This window comes from Homo sapiens, chromosome 12 (assembly GCF_000001405.40).
Source record: "Homo sapiens chromosome 12, GRCh38.p14 Primary Assembly".
Taxonomy (NCBI): domain Eukaryota; kingdom Metazoa; phylum Chordata; class Mammalia; order Primates; family Hominidae; genus Homo; species Homo sapiens.
In genome coordinates this window covers 102,328,909-102,349,156 of record NC_000012.12, presented here as the reverse complement: position 1 = coordinate 102,349,156, position 20,248 = coordinate 102,328,909, and the positions used below count along the sequence as shown (strand labels likewise).

The window sequence follows — 20,248 nt, the reverse complement described above, 5'->3', positions numbered from 1 at the left end:
GTCGTGTATTTTCTCTGGATAGAGTGATGCTATTAAGAATAAAGTAATTTAGGGTAGCATTATACATTGGATCTTAGATCTAAAGAGTAAGAGATCTTGAGTTCTTTGATTCCTAGTTAAATATTCTTCAGTACCTGACACTATATTTTGACTGTATTGGCATTCTGTAAATTTTGGTGTAAGTAAATAAAGTACAAATTACCCTACTTATGGGAGACACTTACTTTCAGTTCTGTTTTCTCTCTACTGTCTTCACCTGGCCATGTATATCATCCTGAAAAAAAAAAAGAAGAAGAAGGAATGGCCATTTCCCAGGTTCCCCAACTTAAAAGTCAGACCTTACTGGAAAGGCATGAACGTTATTCATTCATACTTCTGTTCATTCAACCAATGCTAACTGTGCATCTGTCACATGTCAGGCACTGGGTTAAAAACTGGAGAAACAAATTCAGGTATGGCATTGCCATACACCTGGGAGCACACAGTGTGCTATAAGGGAACACGCATAAGTAATTAAGGACAATAAGGTCTTCTAGTTGCTATGATCATAGGGAGCACAGGATATGGCATGCATACAAGATGGTATGTTTGAGTCTACTTCTAAGAGTCTGGAGGGGTGTCTGGTAGCCTTGTGCCTGAATATACTCCATAGATATTTCTATGCCAGCTTGGACTAAACCAACTCTGTAAGGATTCAGAGCTTGTTATGTGACCTGAGATTCATAATGACCAGAATTTGTCAGTTTGGAATCAGTCAAGGACAGGAGGATTTGAAAAAAATTTTTCCTTAGACAGAGTCATCTGAACATTTTCACCACATACTACTTTTTTGGGACTGTCTACCGAATCTGTGTGTCAGCTCACTTGTGCCTCCTTGACAACTGAAGTCAAGGCCGAATGCTTGGCAAAAATAGTTCAAGCAGCATGCCACCCACTCCCCTCTCTGCTGCCACAGTGATTCTAGACTCTGTGCAAAACCACCCTAAGCAACTAGGGACCATAACTAAGGAAATTGATTTCCTTAAAAAGCAAATGGAAGGGAGTTGCCAAAAGAGTTTCTAGGAGGATATGCATGGAATTTGGGATTTTTGATTTGTGTTTCTACAAACCCTGGGCAAGCTGCCCTACTAAAATTACCATTAAGTTGAATTTATGACCAAGTAATGGTGCATTTCTCTCGTTAAAGACAAATCTTCTCTATCTGTCTGGGCTTGAGCGTGACCTGCGTGGGAAAACAATAAATCACCAACCCTGCACTGCTTTTTTGTGTGCCTCGGGACTGGAGGGGGATGCCAAAGCACTTAAGGTCAGCTTTGTGATTTGTGTCTCAGGAGGGCAGAAAAATCAGTTTGAGGATTTGCTAAAGGATCAACAAAATAATTGATAACCAGTGCACTGGCATGATTCTGAGGTTGGAATGCCTTTGAAACAGTTCCCAAATGGCACCAGGGATTAGGAAAGATTCTTGAACAGAGAATGAGTTATGTGACCTGGGATGTACTTTAACTCTGCCTTTGACCTGGGTGTCGTCGTGAAGAACACTTGGCCTCCATGACCTCATCGTCTGTCAAGTAGGTAGAATAATGGCTGCAGCCCAGATGGAACACACAAAACATCCAGAGACACCCTCCAAAAGCTGGCAGTTATTTCTGGGGGCTTCCACAGCTTTTTTATTAAAATAAGAGAAACAAAAACAGATGAAAATAATACCTAATTTTAATCCTTAATTTCAAATTATGGGATATTGACTGCTAATGTTTTTGCTTGAATTTTTCAGTGCTGCTTGTCCTTCAAATTTCTCCCTAGAATAAACAATAATTGTAATATTTTATATTTACTAAGTGTTTAAAACCCTGGGCCAGGTACTATACTAAGCCCTTTACCTGCATCTCCTATAATCCTCACCACCACCTCTTCAGGTGGGGATTTTAGTTCCATTCTGTAGGTTAGAAAACTTGGGTTTGTGGAAGCCAACCCACTGATGATGTTGAAACTCAAACTCAAACTAGACTGTTCTGGAGTTTGTACTTATAAGCACTAAGAGAGGAAATAACAGGGATGATGAAGGAAATTCTACCTGTTCTTAAATTTCTAGATCAAATTTTTCAAATGCTAGATATAAATTCTTAATATTAGGAGGTTTAATAATTGGTTGGTTGGGAATTTCTCTTTTACTCTTACAATACAGAGGTCCATTCAATACCTGTTCCTTTCTCTCCCACTGACAATTAACCATATCCTTCTATTTCATATTCAGAATATTTAAAGCAGAAGAATTTTCAAGATAAACCCTCTACTTTAACTTCATTCAGCAGTCTCACTCCCTTCTTTGGCAAGTTTTATACTTTTTATAGCTTCTGATCATATCATAATATAAATTATATTATCAAGGAGTTAACTATACATTCTTCAAAACCTTATTCCCTTTAAGAACTTATAATTTATTCCAAGCATTTCTGAGATAAATTATTACAAATCTCATGACTCCATGTCCTCTGGGAAATTCATACTTAAAAGGCTTTCTATACAAATACAAAATATATCCAGACTTCTTTGCATTCTAGTTTTGGGGTCTGTATTTTCTCTGTCTCTCTTCCCACTGTTGTGAACTGTTTTTCCACATGCTGTCAGTGTGGCCTCACTGGTTATAATCTATCTTGCTTTATAAATAATTGTCTACATAAGTACCTGAAGGCAGATCCATGTTTCTACTGTGAAGTAAAGTGCACAAGCTTTGTGATACATATTTTATATTATCATTTAGTTTATTATACCTGTGAGGTCACAACAGTTTGCCTGATGGTTATATTTGACCAAAGATGTAAGTTGAATATGAATATAAGTTGGATTTTTTGCAAGTTATACATACATATATAGAAATAGAAATAGATTGGTGTATGATGATGTGGGAGATATAGATATCACACATGGGTGTTTTAGCTTAGACTCTTTGTAGACCAGGCATAATACTGAGAGAAACCATGAGTCTAAATTGGTGGCTGTTCTGAAAAACATGCATAAAGCCCAGAATTCAAGCTAAAACATTACTTACTACAATGTTTACTTATACTGCAATACTTTATACACAAAAGTCACTTAATAAAAGCTAACTAAAGAAAATCTTACACAAAGGCATTCAATGCCAAACCATTGAATGGTTTGCTAATGTCTTTTTCTTCCCAGATCCACCTATGCTGCTCTTTGAACTTAAGAGTATGTAAAATATTTCACATGTTAAGATTTTTTCCTCTTTAAGAACATACCAAATATTAATAGAATTAAAATATAAGTCAGACTGCAAGAAAATATTTGCAAATTATGTATCTAACAACTTTTATGCACAATATATTTTTTAAACTCTCAAAAATCAGTAATAATTTTTAAGAACTAGAAAAAATATTGTGACAGACACTTCACCAAAGAAGATATACAGATGGCAAATGTATTAGTTCATTTTCACACTGCTATAAAGAACTACCGGACACTGGGTAATTTATTAAGAACATAAGTTTAATTGACTCACAGTTCCATGGGCTTAATAGGAAGCATGACTGGGAGGCCTCAGGAAACTTAAAATCATGGCACAAGCTGAAGGGGAAGCAAGGCATACCTTCTTCCCATGGTGAAGCAGGAGAGAGTGAGTGTGGAGGAACTGCCACACACTTTTAAACCATCAAATCTCACGAGAACTCACTACCACAAGAACAGCAAGGGGGAAGTCTACTGCCATGATTCAGTCACCTCATGCCAGGCCCCTCCCCCAATACACAGAGATTACAATTCAAGATGAGATTTGGGTGGGGATACAGAGCCAAACCATATCAGCCAATAAGCAGATGAAAAGATTTTTAACACTATTAGTTACCACAAGAATGTACATTTAAGACACAATGAGATACCACTACATGCTTATTAGAATGGCTAAACTTTAAAAACTGACCATACAAAATGTTGGTGAGAATATGGAGAAACTAGAACTCTCACAGACTACCAGTGGGAAAGTAAAATTGTTCCACGACTTTTGAAAAGTGTGGCCATTTCTTTAAAAATTAAACATGTAATTACCATATGATCCAACCATTCCACTCATAGGTATTTATTTACCCAAGAAAAATAAAATCATGTGTCTATGTAAGTATTTATATGTGAATGTTCACAGCAGCTTTATCCCTAATAGCCCCAAACTGGAAACAACCCAAATGTCCATCAGCAGGTAAATGGAAAAACAGATTGTGGCATATCCATACAATGGAATGCTGCTCAGCAACTTAAAAAAATGAACTACTGGTACATGCAACAACATGTCTGTATCTCAAATCAATTATGCTGAGTGAAAGAAGTCAGACAAAAAAGAATACATACTCTAGAATTCCATTTATCTAAAATTCTGTAAAGTGCAAACTAATCTATAGTGATACACAGCAGCTCAATAGTTGCCTAGAAGCTGGGGTAAGAAAAGGGAAAGGGAAGAACACAAAGAAATTTGTGGAGATGATGGAGATGTTTACTGTTTTGATTAGGTAATGCTCATCGGTGTAAAAGTATGTCAAAAATTCTCAAATTGTACACTTTAGATTTTTCAGTTTATTGCTTGTCAATTATACCTCAATAAAGCTATAGCAAAGAGAAAAAAAAACATACCAAACAAAGGAAAGGGAATAAAAGTGATTGCAGAATCAAAATTTAGATACAAAAGAAATCGAACAGATCAAACCATCTACTTATCTATTTTATGGATGAAGCAATTGAGGCCTAGACAATGGTTATTCACTAGGTAGACTAATTAGGAACACTAAAATAACAAAAATTAACAAATTTAACATTTGGTAATTCAAAAAATGCATCAAGTAGTCACCTTGGTGAAAATCAGAATTTTGTTGTATTTGCTTACATTACATCTGGGGTCATAATATCATAACATGTTCAATGTGTAGGGCTTCTAAGTATCTTAATCCCATTATGTTCCTAGTAATGTCAATTGGCTTGATTGAGCTCACACAGTTGGTGACACAGCAACAATTTGTGTCTCTAGATTCTCATCTCAGACTCTACCCTTTAGAACAGATTCACAGAGCTGGAAGAAAAGTCCATACCTGAAGAATTAGCAGTCAGATGACCTGATGACCCCCAACTGGGAAGAAAAAAGAATTATGCAATCCAACATATGGGCATCTCTCTTGCCAAAAGCACCCCTGCAGAAATTACCTCTTTGTTAGGTTGTGCAAACTTCCACTGCTCACAGAAGCTCACCCCTAATCCCTGCTTCAGCTTGGGATTTGTCTGCTACAGATTCCTGCTAAACAGGAGGCAGGCACAAGTGGGAAGTCCCCAAGAGGGAGTAAACACAAAAGAAATCTATAGACTGTCTACAAAGGAATGAGTCACCAACTAACAGGAAAAATAGTACTGAGAAGCATCTGATAGTCTCTTCTCACAAACAGATTACTAGGTGTCCAGGTTTCTATTGCTGTATATTAAGCTACCCCAAAATTTCATGACTTAAACAGCAATAATTATTTAAGAATTTGCCATTTTGGCAGGTCTCAGCAGGACAGCTTATCTCTGCTCCATGTGGCCTAACTGGGGTTGGATGACCCACCTCCAAGATGGCTTACTTTCATGAATGGTAAGTTGATGCTGCCTATTGGTTCCTCTCCATGAGGTGGCCTAGGCTTCCTCACAGAATAGAGACTAGGTTCTAACAGCAAATATCCCAGAGATAGGAAGTGGAAATAGCCAGTTTCTTGGTATATAGTTCGGACCTTACCAGATCAAGTGCCAGTTTCCAGACCTGTATCTTAAGAAACTGCCACAGCAACACTTCTGCCATGTACTATTGGTCAAGTAGTCAAAAACCCAGCTTTAAGGAAAAGGACATAGACCACACCCAACCTCTACAAGGAAGAAGTTTCCAAGAATTCAGGGGCAATATTTTAGAGCCATTACATCAAAATGCCACATAATCACTACAGTTAAAAAGTACCTGGAGGCTGGACATGGTGTTTGAGGTCTGTAATCCAAGAACTTTAGGAGGCCAAGGTGGGAAGATCACTTGAGCCCAGGAGTACAAGACCAGACTGGGCAGCATAGTGAGACCTGGTCTCTACAAAAAAATTAAAACAATAGCCAGGTGTGGTGGCACGTCTGTAGTCCCAGCTACTCAGGAGCCTGAGGTGGGAGGATTGCTTGAGCCCAGGAGATCAAGGCTGCAGTCAGCTGTGATCGTGCCACTATACTCCAGCCTAGCTGAGACCCTGTCTGAAGAAAAAAAAAAAGTACCTGGACACTTTTGTTGGTTTCTCTTTAAACCTTCACTCTCTGATAAGAGAGTAAAGGACTGTGTGTATTCACCTTGACCACAATCCCAGTACTGTAAACAAGACTGGGAGACATTCTCTGCTGGCTTGTGTGTGATCTGGCATCCACTTTGTTTTCACACTTTATAAATAGAAATGGTAACACTGCATTTTTAAATCCACCTAAAAGCTCTCTGTAGACAAGGATTTTATCATGTTATAGTGCCCCAAACTTAGTAGGTACTTACCGATATTGCAAATTGATATAATAAACCAAGTTGGCCCTATACAACTGTCAGATTTTTTGGTAAATATTTATCACCTCAATATTTGGTAATACGATAAAAGAGAAATGGAAGCTATGACTTCTTCCTTCACCTCACCATTAGGTGGCAAGTGTAATAAAGGAAATCTTAGACAATATTCTGCTACATAGAAATATCTATTAGCAAGCAAGCTTCAAAATAGTCATAGAAACTATTCCCCTGGCTTGAGGAAGTCAGTCCCTGATATCTATCTTTTAGGCACTCCAACAAGCTTTACAATAATAATCTAACAGAAGAATCAGCAAAGCCTGTAATTGGATCAGGTAATAGAGCCTTGATTAAATAGGGAGGTGTAGAACCAAAGTTCTAGACCCAGGGGATACTCTGAAGATGTAAGGCTTCTGGGCTTGATGGGTCCTTCAATACTGTTCCTTCAAGGACAAAGATGCCTGTGTAATCTTTTTTCAGCCAGACATACATTGGACACCATTTACTTATCCCCCAAAATTATGCTCAACATCCCTTACCCTCATCAATGAACCCTCTGGTGCAGATTTAAATAGCAGCATCTGTATTCCTGCATTAGGTGACCTCACACTGGGAGCCTGAAACCAGCCATGGTGAGAGTATTGATGGACAGAAATCAGCAAATGCTACAAATCAGGACTCTACTCCTCCCCAGAGCTGGTTGTTAAACATTTTTTATTACATTACTGTAACTAACTGGCCCTAAAGTATTGATTAAAGTTAATTTGTTTACATTATTTATACTGGAGTATTCAAAAGTAACTTACTAATAACGTAATATGTAAATATTAATTGATTATATTAATTATTGTATACAGTTCTATATTTAAATGAGTAGGGATGTGTAAGTGTGTGGGGATGTGTGTGTGTGTGTGCGTGTGTGCACCGTAAGTGAGGAGTTGTTTGTCTAATCTTTCCAGCTCAATATATTCCATGAAGTTTTCAGTGACATCATATTGAATACAATAGAATAGCATTTGTCCAGCAGGACTGAATTAGATCACAGTGTAAGAGCTTTTATATGATTAGCCAATTAAGGTTAAGACTGATCAAAGATAGAATGACATACTAATCCAATTTTAATTGTATTTTCATTGAAAATTCTGATTTCTCCTAACCTGAGGCACAGTCCATAATTTTATGTGCAGCATGATAAGAAACACCAGAGTTCAAGTTTCAACTTTGGCATATCTTACCTGTGTGACCTCAGACTAGTCATTTCTGAGCTTCAATTTTCTCATGTGTAAAAGGGGGTGATAAAAATGAGATTATCCATGTGAAAGCACTTGCAATTTGTATAATGCTGTAACATACTGATAATTTATTATGAAAGAGCCTCACAAAGAACTAGTTTCTAAAATGTTAATAGATCAGGGGCTGGGCATAGTGGCTCACATTTGTAATCCTAGCACTTTGGGAGACCAAGTTAGTAGGATTGCTTGAGCCCAGGAGTTCAAGACCAGCACAGGCAACAGACCGAGACCCCATCTCTACAAAAAATACAACATTTAGATGGGCATGATAGCATGTGCCTGTAGTCCGAGCAATGCAGGAGGCTGAGGTGGGAGGATCGCTTGAGCCTGAAAGTTGAGGCTGCAGTGAGCCATGATCGCACCACTGCCCTCCAGCCTGAGTGACAGGTGAGAACTCGTCTCAAAAAAAAAAAAAAAAAAAAAAGGCTAGGAATGTCCTATTCTTCTTTCTTTAATGAGAAATAATAATTTTACATTTTAAAAAGAATTTATCTGTCAAAATCAAGAGTATTAAAATTAACTTTTCTGGATTCTCTATGATTGCAAACAAAGCCTGATCACAAAACTGTCATCAGTTACGTACACTTTGACACATTAAACGTCATCATCCTCCTGCGATGTATATGGGATGTTCTAGCTGAGGCTCACTGCCTCAGAACCAGCTCAGGTCCTGCAGTTCATTGCCTGTCACTAGTCTATATTTACAGTGTTTCCCCCAGTGAACTATATCTTCACATTTTTTCTTTCCGTTTACTTCTTTATTATAAAACACCCTCCTCTCCCTACCCCATCCACACTCACACATATGGAGGAGGAAAAAAAAATGGCCCTGAAGTGTCTGTCCTTTAATCTAATTTTCATTTTCAGTAAACACTGCTCCACCTTACCCCCACTTAATAGGTGCTGGAACTTTATTTGTATTATTCCATTTATCTCTCTTCAAAATATTCTCTTTTAAAATATAAGAAAACAAACTGAGCTTCAGAAAGTTTAGAGACTTGCTCAAGGCTCACAAAGTTCATAATTAGTATAACCAGAAACGATTCTCATTTTTCCTTGCTAAGAATCCCTCATAAGCCTTATAAGTGAAATCACAGACTCTCAGAAATCAGTCTATTTTAAAAGGTCTTCTACACCACACAGTAGTTTAATGGCTGAATCTCTTATTTCCCATTAGAACAATGAGCAGTTGTATTAAAACTGTATGTCTGACACTGAAACGTACACTTGTTAAAAAGCGTGCTTTTTTATCTTTGAACTCCTAGTGAGTGTCCCAATGCTTTGGCAAAGGGAGGCGTTTAACAAATGTTTGTTCTTTAATGAAAGAATGATTCCATTGGCCATGCATTCTGACCAACTGAACACCTTCAGTGACAGAAAAGGCACTACTGCCAGAGGAAACCATCACCTTCAAGACCTCCTAATGTCAAATTACTTGTCTAAAAACAAAAGAAAGAAAGGAAGGGAGAAGGGAAGAAAGGAAAAAATAAAACTTAAACAAATAAAAGGCTCACAGTGGCTCATGTCTGTAATCTAGCATTTCAGGAGGCTGAGGTTAGAGGATCACTTGAGCCCAGGAGTTTGAGACCAGCCTGAGAAAACACAGCAAGACCTCATCTCTACTAAAAAATTTTGAAAAAAAGCAATTAGGCATGGTGGTACACACCTGTAGTCCAAGCTACTTGGGAGGCTGAGATGGGAGGATCATTTGAGCCCAAGAGTTTGAGACTGCTATGAGCTATGATTGTGCCACCACACTCCAGCCCGGGTAACAGAGCAAGACCTTGTCTAAAAATTAAAAAAATATATAAAAATAGAGGCTTCCCAGGAATAGACTTAACTACTTGAAACAAACTATTTTCAAATGAGATGCACTGGCCAGGAAACCAAGCAAAGACAGACATCCTGCCTCCTTTACTCCCTCCAAAACAAACCACATTGCACTCTATAACAAAGGAATGTTTTTTTCAATAAGAGCTAAAAGATTCAGAAGACTACACTGTTGTTAGTAAATGGAGAGCTTTCGTTCAATAGTCAGTTCACAAAAATAACTCGAAGTTAACTATGGAAACTGTGTCAGTTTTGAAAGTGATGAAATAATAATGCACATATGCCATAAAAAATAAGCAAAAAGAAGATTATTTGAAGTTTAGAATTCTTTTTGGATTAACATTTTATACTTTTGAAATTTCAGAGTTCTGGGGTATGTTCACAGCTGCTCTGATTCTTCAGACATGTATAAGTTAAAAGTGCCTCTCTTTTCTCAACAGATGAATAAGTGAGTGAGGAAGAAAGTGGCCCCAAATGAAGTTGTTGTGGAAATAGGCAGGGCTGGATCATTCACGGCCTTGCAGGTCATGGTGAGGAGTTGAGATTGAGTTGCCTTTAGAAAGGTAATGGGGAAACACTGAATGATTTTGAGCAGGGATTTGACATGCTCAAAATTTACTTATATTTTTAGAATGTGATAAGATTTATGTTTTAACTTTGACTGCTGGGTGGATGATGTAGTCTACGAGGACAAAAGTAAAAGCTGTGAGATCCTCTGGTTGACAAAGAAGTCCAGACAACAGATGATGACAGCTTGGACCACACTAGTGACAGCAATAATGGAAAAAAGTAAATGGGTTTTATATTTATTTCGGAAATAGAATCAATAATTATAGTGGTTACTGTTGTATTGGATGTATGAGGTGAAGAAGAGAAAATCAGGAAAACACTTGAGTTTCTGGCTTAACCAACTAGGTGGACAGTGGTACAACTTACAGAGATAGGCTTAGGGTGGAACAGGCAATGGTTGGGGCAAACCAAAAGTTCCATTATATATATGTTAAGTTTCAGACATCACTTGGTCCTCTGGGTATGCATTTGTTGATTTGAATATCTGTTAAATCAATGAATATAGTTCTAATTTCACTTAGGATACAGAAACTGCAAAAGAATGTCACTATCACCAAAACAGGAAAAGTTGGTAATCTAAACTCTTAAATAATTTACACTGCCTCAGGAAAAAAAAAAAAAAAAAGCTGAAAATCTACAAAATAGTTTTCAAGTTCATCAGTGCGCTGAGGTTGATCAGTTGAACTAAATTCCTAAGGGTGAAAGGCTCCTCATAGGTAACATAGGACACTCAAATGTTTCACCTTTTAGGGAGAATAGGAGGGAAGGGAGGCAGTTATTGGAGTCAGTAAGATGAAAATAGATGAAATTTAGCACATTCTTAAAGGACAAATGTGGACTAGTGTGAAAGTGTAGAATCTTCAGGTGCCACAGGCACAGGCAAGTCTGCACCCACTCATGGGGTTCTTGATGGGTCTCATCTGAATATTCACAAGAACGATTGAGGGCAGGTAGGAAGCTGGAGAAGGCGCCTCTTGGTGGCACAGGTGTACAGGGTCTGCTGAGGTTTGAGAGAAGAGCAGGAGTGTCTAGGGAATTTCTTTTTTTTTTTTTTTTTTTTTTTTTTTTGAGACGGAGTCTTGCTCTGTTGCCCAGGCTGGAGTGCAGTGGCGCCATCTCGGCTCACTGCAAGCTCCACCTCCCGGGTTCACGCCATTCTCCTGCCTCAGCCTCCTGAGTAGCTGGGACTACAGGCGCCCGCCACCACGCCCAGCTAATTTGTTTTTTTGTATTTTTAGTAGAGACGGGGTTTCACCAAGTTAGCCAGGATGGTCTCGATCTCCTGACCTCGTGATCCGCCCTCCTCGGCCTCCCAAAGTGCTGGGATTACAGGCGTGAGCCACCGTGCCCGGCCACAGGAGTGTCTATGGAATTTCATCTCTCAATGGGCTCTGCATGAGTACAGTATGGTGAGCAGCTGCTACTTCCCACAGCCCAGAATGTTCTCAGATAGGAAGTAAAATCTGTCGCTGTTGAGATGATAGAAAGAACATGTTCACATCCCAGACATGACAATGCTTTTATATGAAGTAAAATGAATCTGCCACTGAGGGAGGGACATGAAACCCTGTCATGTCCCTATTTCCAGGCAAAGGTAGGCTGCTACTGGGAAAGTGGTAGAAAACTTTCTCATGCGCAGGATCCTGCACTAATACAAAGAAGAGGACTGCTATTGCTGGGGGCGGAGGCAGAGTTCACCTGTTCAGCGGGGAGGGAAGTACAGGAAACCTACCTGCACTCTAAAACATGGACTGAAAAGGAGGCAAAGGCTTGTCATGGGAGAGACATGGGGGTATTCAAAACAACTGACATCAGGCTCAGGAGCACAGGACCTGCCTGAAACTAAGGCTGGAACAGGAGAAGTGAAAGCTTCCAACTCCAGCATGAGTCTTGCACAGAATAACAAACAACTGAAGTCTCTAGGCTAGGGTAAATACAAGAACATGGAGATAAATCCCCCCAGTGGCAAAGTCATACATGGATTGCTGAAAGCTGAGAGTGAAGAAACATTTAGAAAATTCCTCTAGCACTTCAGACCTCACACTAAGGATAAGGTAGCACTTGTCTACCGCAGGAGGAATTTGAAGCCTAGGGTTCACTGAATATAACAATATATCAACACGACAACAGCAAACTTAAACTCAGCTCATGTACATATCAGAGAGCCTCAACTGCCCAAAGACTCATGATCTAACAGAAGAAGAAGCATGCCTACTGCTGGGCATAAATATTATTTAGCTCAGTTTCTAGTGTTACTTTGTACACATTATCTGGTATGTAAACAAAATTGCCATATACACAAAAAGCAAGAACATAACAACCCATTGTCAAGAGATTAAACAAACTCAGAATTTGGTCCAGATGTTGAAACTAACAGACAGGAACTTTAAAATAATTATAATTAATACGTTAAAGGATCTAATGGAAAAACTATAATACATACTTAAAGAGATAAAGATTTCAACAGAAAGATGTATTCTTTTCCTAGGGGTACCATAACAAATTACCACAAACTGGGTGGCTTAAAATAAGAGAAAATTATTCTCTCAGTTCTAGAAGCCTCAAGTCTGAAATCAAGGTGTCAGCAGAGCCACACTCCTGGAGGTGCAAAGGGAAAATCCTTGCTTTTTGCAGCTTCTGGGGGCAGTCAGCATTCCTTGGCTTTCTTGACTTGTGGCCACAGCACTCCAATCTCAGCCTCTATCTTCACATTGCCATCTCCTCTGTCTGTCTGTGTCTTAACTTCTTCTGTATATTACAAACACACTTATCATTGAATTTAGGAATCACACAAGTAATCCAGGATGATCTACTCTCAAGAACCTGAACTTCATTCATCTGCAAATACCCGTTTTCCAAGTAAGATAACATTCACAGGTTCCAGGGATTTGGACATAGATATATCTTTTGAGAGGCCACCATTCTACCTACTAAAGGTGGAAATCCTGAGAATCAGATGGTGTCATCAGCACAATAATGGGACACCCCATTATTACCAAAGATGTCCATGTCCTACTTCTCTGAACCTGTGACTATATTACCTTACATGGCAAAAGGGACTTTACAAATGTTACTAAGTTAAGGATCATGATATGAGAATATTATCCAGGATTATCCTGATAGGCTCAATGTAATCACAAGGACTGTGAAAGAGGGAACCAGGAGAGACAGAGTAATTTGGAGATGATTTGCAGTTTGGCTTTAAAGATGGAGAAAGATGGAGAAAGAGAACATGGCTTTAAAGATGGAGAAAGAGGTCCTGAGATAAGGAATTCAGTTGGTCTCTAGAAGATGGAAAAGGTAAGGAAATAGATCCTCCTGTAGAGTCTCCTAAAGGAATGCAGCCTTACTGACACCTTGATTTTAGACAAGTCTGAGACCCATTTCAGACTTCTGAATTCCAGAACTTTAGTATAATAAAGTTGTGTAGTTTTAAGCTAGTAGCATTGTGGTAATTTGTTACAGCAGCAATAGGAAACCAATACCAATGGAAATTCTAGAGTTTTTTTATTATTATTATTCCTTTGACAACTTTATCTGTAGACTAGACACAATGAGGAAATAATTGATGAACTTGATGACAGGAACTACTGAAAATTAAATAATTAAATGCATGGGAAAAAAGAACAGATCATCCAAAAATTAGGGAATAAAACCAAACAGTCTAATATACATGGACTTGTATCTCCAGAATAAGAAGACAGCAAGAACCAAAGAAATATTTGAAGAGGTAATGATCAAGAATTGTCTGAAGTAAATTGAAGGCAAAAACAGAAACAAAAAGCAAAAAAAAAAAACCAGACCAAAGAATCTCAGAAAACTCTAAGCAATATAAACAAAAATTTTAAAAACACAGCTATGAAAATTGTAGTCAAACTGCTGAAATTCAAGTTTAAAGAGAAAAATCTTGATGTAGAAGAGGAAAAAGGAAACATTACATAGGGAGGAAGATAAGAATCACACCAGACTTCTTTTTAGAAACTATGCAGTTCAGCAGATGATGTAACATCTTCAAAGTAATAAAACAAGCACAACAATAAACTGATAATGATATATCCAGCAAAAATAGCTTTCAGAATAAAGATAAAATAAAAACTTTCTCAGACCAACAAAAGCTTAGGGAATTCATTGCCAGCAGACCTGCAACTAACCTATTGAAAGTTCTTTAGGCACAAGAAATATGATACCAGATAGAAAATTACATCTGTGTGAAAGAATGAAGAGCATAGAAATGGTAAAAATATGGTTAAGTATAAAAGATGTTTTAAATTTTGAATTCCTTTAAAATATAATTGTCTAAAACTATAATAGTAACAATATATTATGGGGTTGATAATACACACAGAAGTAAAAACTGTAACAACAATAGCACTAAGGTTGGAAGAAAGGAAATAGAAGTATATGTGGTAAAGCTACTACACTCTATGTAAAGTGATACATTTGGAAGTAAACTGTGATAAGTTAAAGATGTTTAAATCCTAGAGAAACCACTAATAAGCCAATTTTGAAAATAAATATAATAATGAAAAATATTTAGTTCAAAAGTAGGCACTAAAAGAGGAAAGGAAAAACAAGGAACCAATGGGACAAGTAGAAAACATTTAGCAAGATGGTATATTTAAACCCAAACATATCAATACTTACATTAAATACATCTGGAATTAGCACTCCAATTAAAGCCTAACATTGTCAGGTTGGACAAACAAGTAAAATGCAATTATATGTTGTCTACAATAAATCTACTTATAAAGACAAAGGAAAAAGTAAAAGGATGGAAAAATTATACTATTAATTAAGGGAAGCTGCAGTGCTTATATTAATATTAGCTAAAGTAGTATTCAGAATAAGGTATATTAACATCAACATTATGTAATTATAAAAGGGTCAATTCATTAAAAAGACATAATATTGCTACATGTATATGCACCCAATAAAACTCCAAAATAAAGCAAAATCTATAGAACTGAAAGGAGAAATAGACAAATATACAATTACAGTTGGAGACTTCGGACACACCTCTATTACTAATTAACAGGACAAGTAGACACAAAAAATTAGTTGATGAGTGATAGAAGATCTGAATAATATTATAAACTTAATTGACTGTTTTAGTGTGCTTGGGCTGCTATAACAAAATGCCAGCCATAGGCTACAGGTCTTAAATTACAGAATTTTTTTTTATCACGTTTGTGGAGGTTGTAAGTGTGAGATCAGGTGCCAGCATGTTTGAGTTCTGGTGAGGGTTATCTTTCCAGCTTTTAGATGGCCACTTTCTCTCTGTGCTCTCACCTAGGGTAGAGTTGGGGAGTGGGGAGCCGAGAGAGAGAGAGAGGATCTTCCCCTTAGAAGTACAACAATCCCATCATGAGGATTCCCATCCTCATGACTTCACCTAGCTATAATTACTGTGCAAATGCCCCATCTTCAAACCACATTACATTGGTAGTTAGGGTTTTAACACATGACATTCAGTGATGACAGAAACATTCAGTCCATAATATTCCACCCCTGGCCCCCCAAAATTTATGTTCTTATTGTATGCAAAGTACATTTATTTCATCCCAACAGCCTCAAAAGTCTGAATTTATGCCAGCATCAACTCTAAAGTCTAAAGTCCATAGTCTTATCGAAATATCATTTGAATCAAGTATGAGTGAGACTCAAGGTACAATTCATCCTGAAGCAAAATTCCTCTTCAGATTCAGCTCTGAATCTGTGAAACCAAACAAGTCATGTACTTCTAAAATGGCGAGCCAGCCATAGGAAAGACCTTTCTATTACAAGAGAGAAAAATAGGAAAGAAAAGGATGATTAGTCCCAAACAAATCTAAAACCTAGTAAGATACATTCCATCAGATCTTAAGGCTCAAGAATCATTCTCTTTGACTTGATTCTCTATCTTCCAGACCCACTGGGGTCCTATCTTCAAAACCCATGGGGGCAGAGATCCTGTATTCATGGCCCTTCCAGGCACCCTGTCCCCAGCGTTCTTCAAGGTGTCCTGATCCTTCAGCACAACAAAGTGGTCCTGGCCTCACAGCTTCAAGAAAGAGGGCATCTGACTTATTGAAAACAAGATGGTGGCTCTGTTAATTTCTGAATTACCTTTAGGGTCATTTTTCCTCTTATTGAAGGATAGCACATGTTCACAGCCAAAAGACTCTTTCATCTTTTCCCCCACAAATCCTGATGAGTCTAATAACCTTCCTTCCTTTAGTCCTTTCTGCATCTCCTTCAGTTTAAACTGGCAATGTTGCTGCTTATATAGTCCCATAAGCTCTTCATTGAATGACAGTCCAGGCACACCCTTGGTGTTCTCTTCTGAATACTTTTTCATTTTTTTGCAATATACGTAGGCTGAAACTGTTCCAAATCTTCAAATTCAGGTTCCTTTTTGCTTAACAATTCCTTCTTCAACTTATCCTTTAACAATCCCTTCTTCAACTGTCTCTTATCAGGTTTTAGTATAAGCAGTCAGGTGGAAGCAAGCCACTTCTTAAACATTTGCTTAGACATATCCTCAACTAAATATCCAATATCATCATTTGCAAGATCTACCTTCCACAAACACTAGAACCCAAACATAATTCAGCCAAATTCTTTTCCATATTATAACAAAGATCGCCTTTCTTCCAGTTTCCAAAAATATGTTTCTCATTTCATCTGAGAGCTCATCAGAATTGCTCTTAACATCCATATTTCTAGCATGCACCTCAAAATACTTCCAGCCTCTATTCATTACCCAATTCCAGAGCCACTTCCACATGTTTAGGTATTTGTTATGACAGAACTACAAACACTTTTCAGTACCAAAATATGTATTGGTATGAATTATCCAGAGAAACAGAATAGAAGATAAAGATATAGATGAAGATGTAAATATAGATATATATTTATTAGAAGAAATTGACTCACATGGTTATGGAAGCTAGAAATTTTCAGGATCTACAGTCATCTAGCAGGAGGACCAAGAAAGCCAGTGAGATACTTCTTCTCTGAGTCCAGTGGGTAAGGACCAGGAGAGCCAATGGTATAAGTTTCAGTCTGAGTTCAAAGATCTGAGAACCTGTAGATCCAAAGATGTAAGTTCTAGCACAAGTTCTAGGGCAAAGCCAGGGAACAATCAATGTCCCAGCTGGAAGACAGTCAAGCAAAGAGTGACTTCTATTTTTTTCTTCTTTTTGTTCTATGCAGGCCTTCAATGGATTGCACGAAGCCCAACCATACTGGGGAAGGCAATCTACTTCACTCAGTCTACACAATAACTCCCTTCTTTTTCTGCTGATTCAGAGGCATGTTCAAAGTGTCCAGGTGGCACTCTTATCTTGCAGTTCAATGGAATCATTGTTGTGTCTCTTGGTGGAACCATTTCTCCATTTGGAACTAAGACTTCTAGGCCAGCAGAGAACAGGGTCATAGGAACAAGGAAAAAAAAGTTTTGCTAGTGGGTCATTAGCAAATTGTGAATGTGAATGGAATGTAATTGTGAATGGTGCAACTCTCACTTTTCACCCATTGATTCCTGTATATCATACAGAACTATCTATAAACTAGGTCTGAGTAATCTTTTCTCCTATCAATTGATCATAGGTGCTATAGTTTGAGTGTACCCTCAGAATTAATGTGTTAGAAATTTGGTTCTTGGTGCAACAGTGTTGGGAGGTAGGGACTTTAAAAAGTCATTGTGGCTGGGTGCAGTGCCTCATGCCTATAATCCCAGCACTTTGGGAGGTCAAGGAGGAAAGATTGCTTGAGTGCAGGAGTTTGAGATCAGCCTGGGCTATGTGGCAAAACCCCATCTCTACAAGAAATAAAAAATTAGCCAGGCATGGTGGTGCACGCCTGTAGTTCCAGCTACTCAGGAGGCTGAGGTGGGAGAATTGTTTGAGCCCAAGAAGTTGAGGTCACAGTGAGCCAAGATCACACCACTGCACTCCAGCCTGGGTGATAGAGTGAGACCCTGTCTCAGAAAGAAGAAGAAAGAAGAAAGAAGAAGAAGAAGAAAGAAGAAAGAAGAAGAAGACATCATTGGGTCCTTAAATGGGATTAATGTCACTCTTGAAGGACTCAGTTAATTCTCTGGGGAATGAGTTCTCACTGTCATGGAACTTGATTCATTACCACAAGATTGGGCTGGGGGTATTATAAACTGAGGCCACTCCTCATGTTTTGATCATTTCACACACACCCACTTCTCCTTCCACTTCTCCATCATGTTATAATGCAGTATGAAAAGCCCTCACTGGAAGCTGCCACCATGCTTTTGAACCTTCCAGCCTCTAAGGCTGTAAGCCAAATAAGCTTCTACTCTTTATAAATTACCCAGTCTGCTTGATTCCGGTATAGCAACAGAAAATGTACTAAGATGATAGGGAGCTCCTCATGAGGCCATAAGTGCAGACTGAGGGAGAGAAGGCAGTGTAACAGGAGTTGAAACCATTGGCATTTAGACCACTTCTTTGTGTAACTTACTTGTGCCTTTGGGGCTTTCTTAGGTCCTATCACATATATACCACTTCCATTTGAAGTGGTATATGCCCAAACTTATGGCTTGGTGAGTCAAAACACCATGATGGGCAGCTCAGGTTGCACCGTAACTTTGTAGCCCATGATTAAGCAGTCAGTCTCTATTAAGGCCTTGTAGTAGGCCATCAGCTGTTCCTTAAAAAAAAAAAAAATAGTTATGTGCAGAGGATGGCAGAGCTTTATTCCAAAATCCTAAAGGACTATGCCTAAATTTACTTATAGGAGCCTGGCAGAGGCTCCAAATAGCTTCCCTACCTGCCACTAACATTTTAAGCACCATTGGGTCTGTTGGATGATATGATGCAAGAGCCAAAGCAGCTTGCACAGCAGCCTGGACCTGTTGTAGAGCCTTCCCCTGTTCTAGGTTCCACTTAAAATTAGCAGCTTTTCAGGTTACTTAGCAAATGGTCTGGAGTAACATACCCAAATGAGGAATATGTTGACTCCAAAATCCAAAGAGGTCCATTAAGCATTGTTCTTATTTTTTTGGCAGTGGTGGGGGGTGAGGGGGTTGTCACCCTTAGGCATTTTACTGAGATAGAAAGTCTTTCCATTTTTTGTCTCATTTATTTCCCACCTTCTGAAATGCAAATGACTTAAGTCTAGAGTAGTTGCTACTTCTTGCTCACTACTTCCAAACAGCATAATGTCACTAATATGACAAACCAGTATAATATCCTTTTGAAGAGAAAGATGATCAAGATCCATGTGAACTAAATTATGGTGTAAGGCTGGAGAGTTGATCTACTTCTGAGGTAGAATAGTGAAGGTATATTACTGGCCTTTCCAGCTGAAGGCAAACTGCTTCTGATGGTTTTTATTGACAGGTATGAAGGAAAAGCATTTGCCAGATCAATAGCTGCATACCAGGTACCAAGGGATGTGTTAGTTTGCTCAAGCAATGAAATGCAGCAATTGGAGTCACCTCCTGGTTAAGCTTACTTAACTGCTATTCTCCAAGATCCATCTGTTCTATGCACAGGCCAAATAAGAGAGTTGAGTGGGGAGTAGTAATCATCACCCCTGCATCTTTCAAGTCCTTGATGGCAGCACTAATCTCTGCAATTCCTCCAAAAATGCAGCATTCCTTTTGGTTTGCTATTTTCCTCTGTAGAGGCAGTTCTAGTGGCTGCTCCCACTAGGTCTTTCCCACTACAGTAGTCCTTACTGTGCAGGTAAGGGAACCAATGAGGGGATTCCAACAGCTGCTGAATGTATCTATTGCAATTATGCATTCTAGAACTGGAGAAATAATCACAGGATGTGTTCAGGTACCCATCGGGCCCACTGTGAGATAAACTGGAGCCAAAGCTTCACTAATCACCTGACCTCTATAAGCCCCTACTCTGACTGGTAGACCACAGTGATGTGTTGAGTCTCCTGGAATTACTGTCAGTTCAGAGCCAGTGTCCAGTAATCTCTGAAAGTTCAAATTATTTGTTTTGTTTTTTTTCCCAATGCACAGTACCATTAAAAAGGC

The 20,248-nt window shown here is 38.5% G+C and overlaps 1 long non-coding RNA gene across 1 annotated transcript in view; it reads right to left on the bottom strand.

Annotated features, from left to right (window-relative positions):
- The window catches only part of LINC02456 (long intergenic non-protein coding RNA 2456), a 432,422-nt gene that overhangs the window by 362,839 nt on the left and 49,335 nt on the right, over positions 1-20,248 (bottom strand). Inside the window, exon 6 of the long non-coding RNA XR_007063427.1 lies at positions 225-274. This is a non-coding gene — a long non-coding RNA (long intergenic non-protein coding RNA 2456). The remainder of the gene's footprint in view (positions 1-224; positions 275-20,248) is intronic.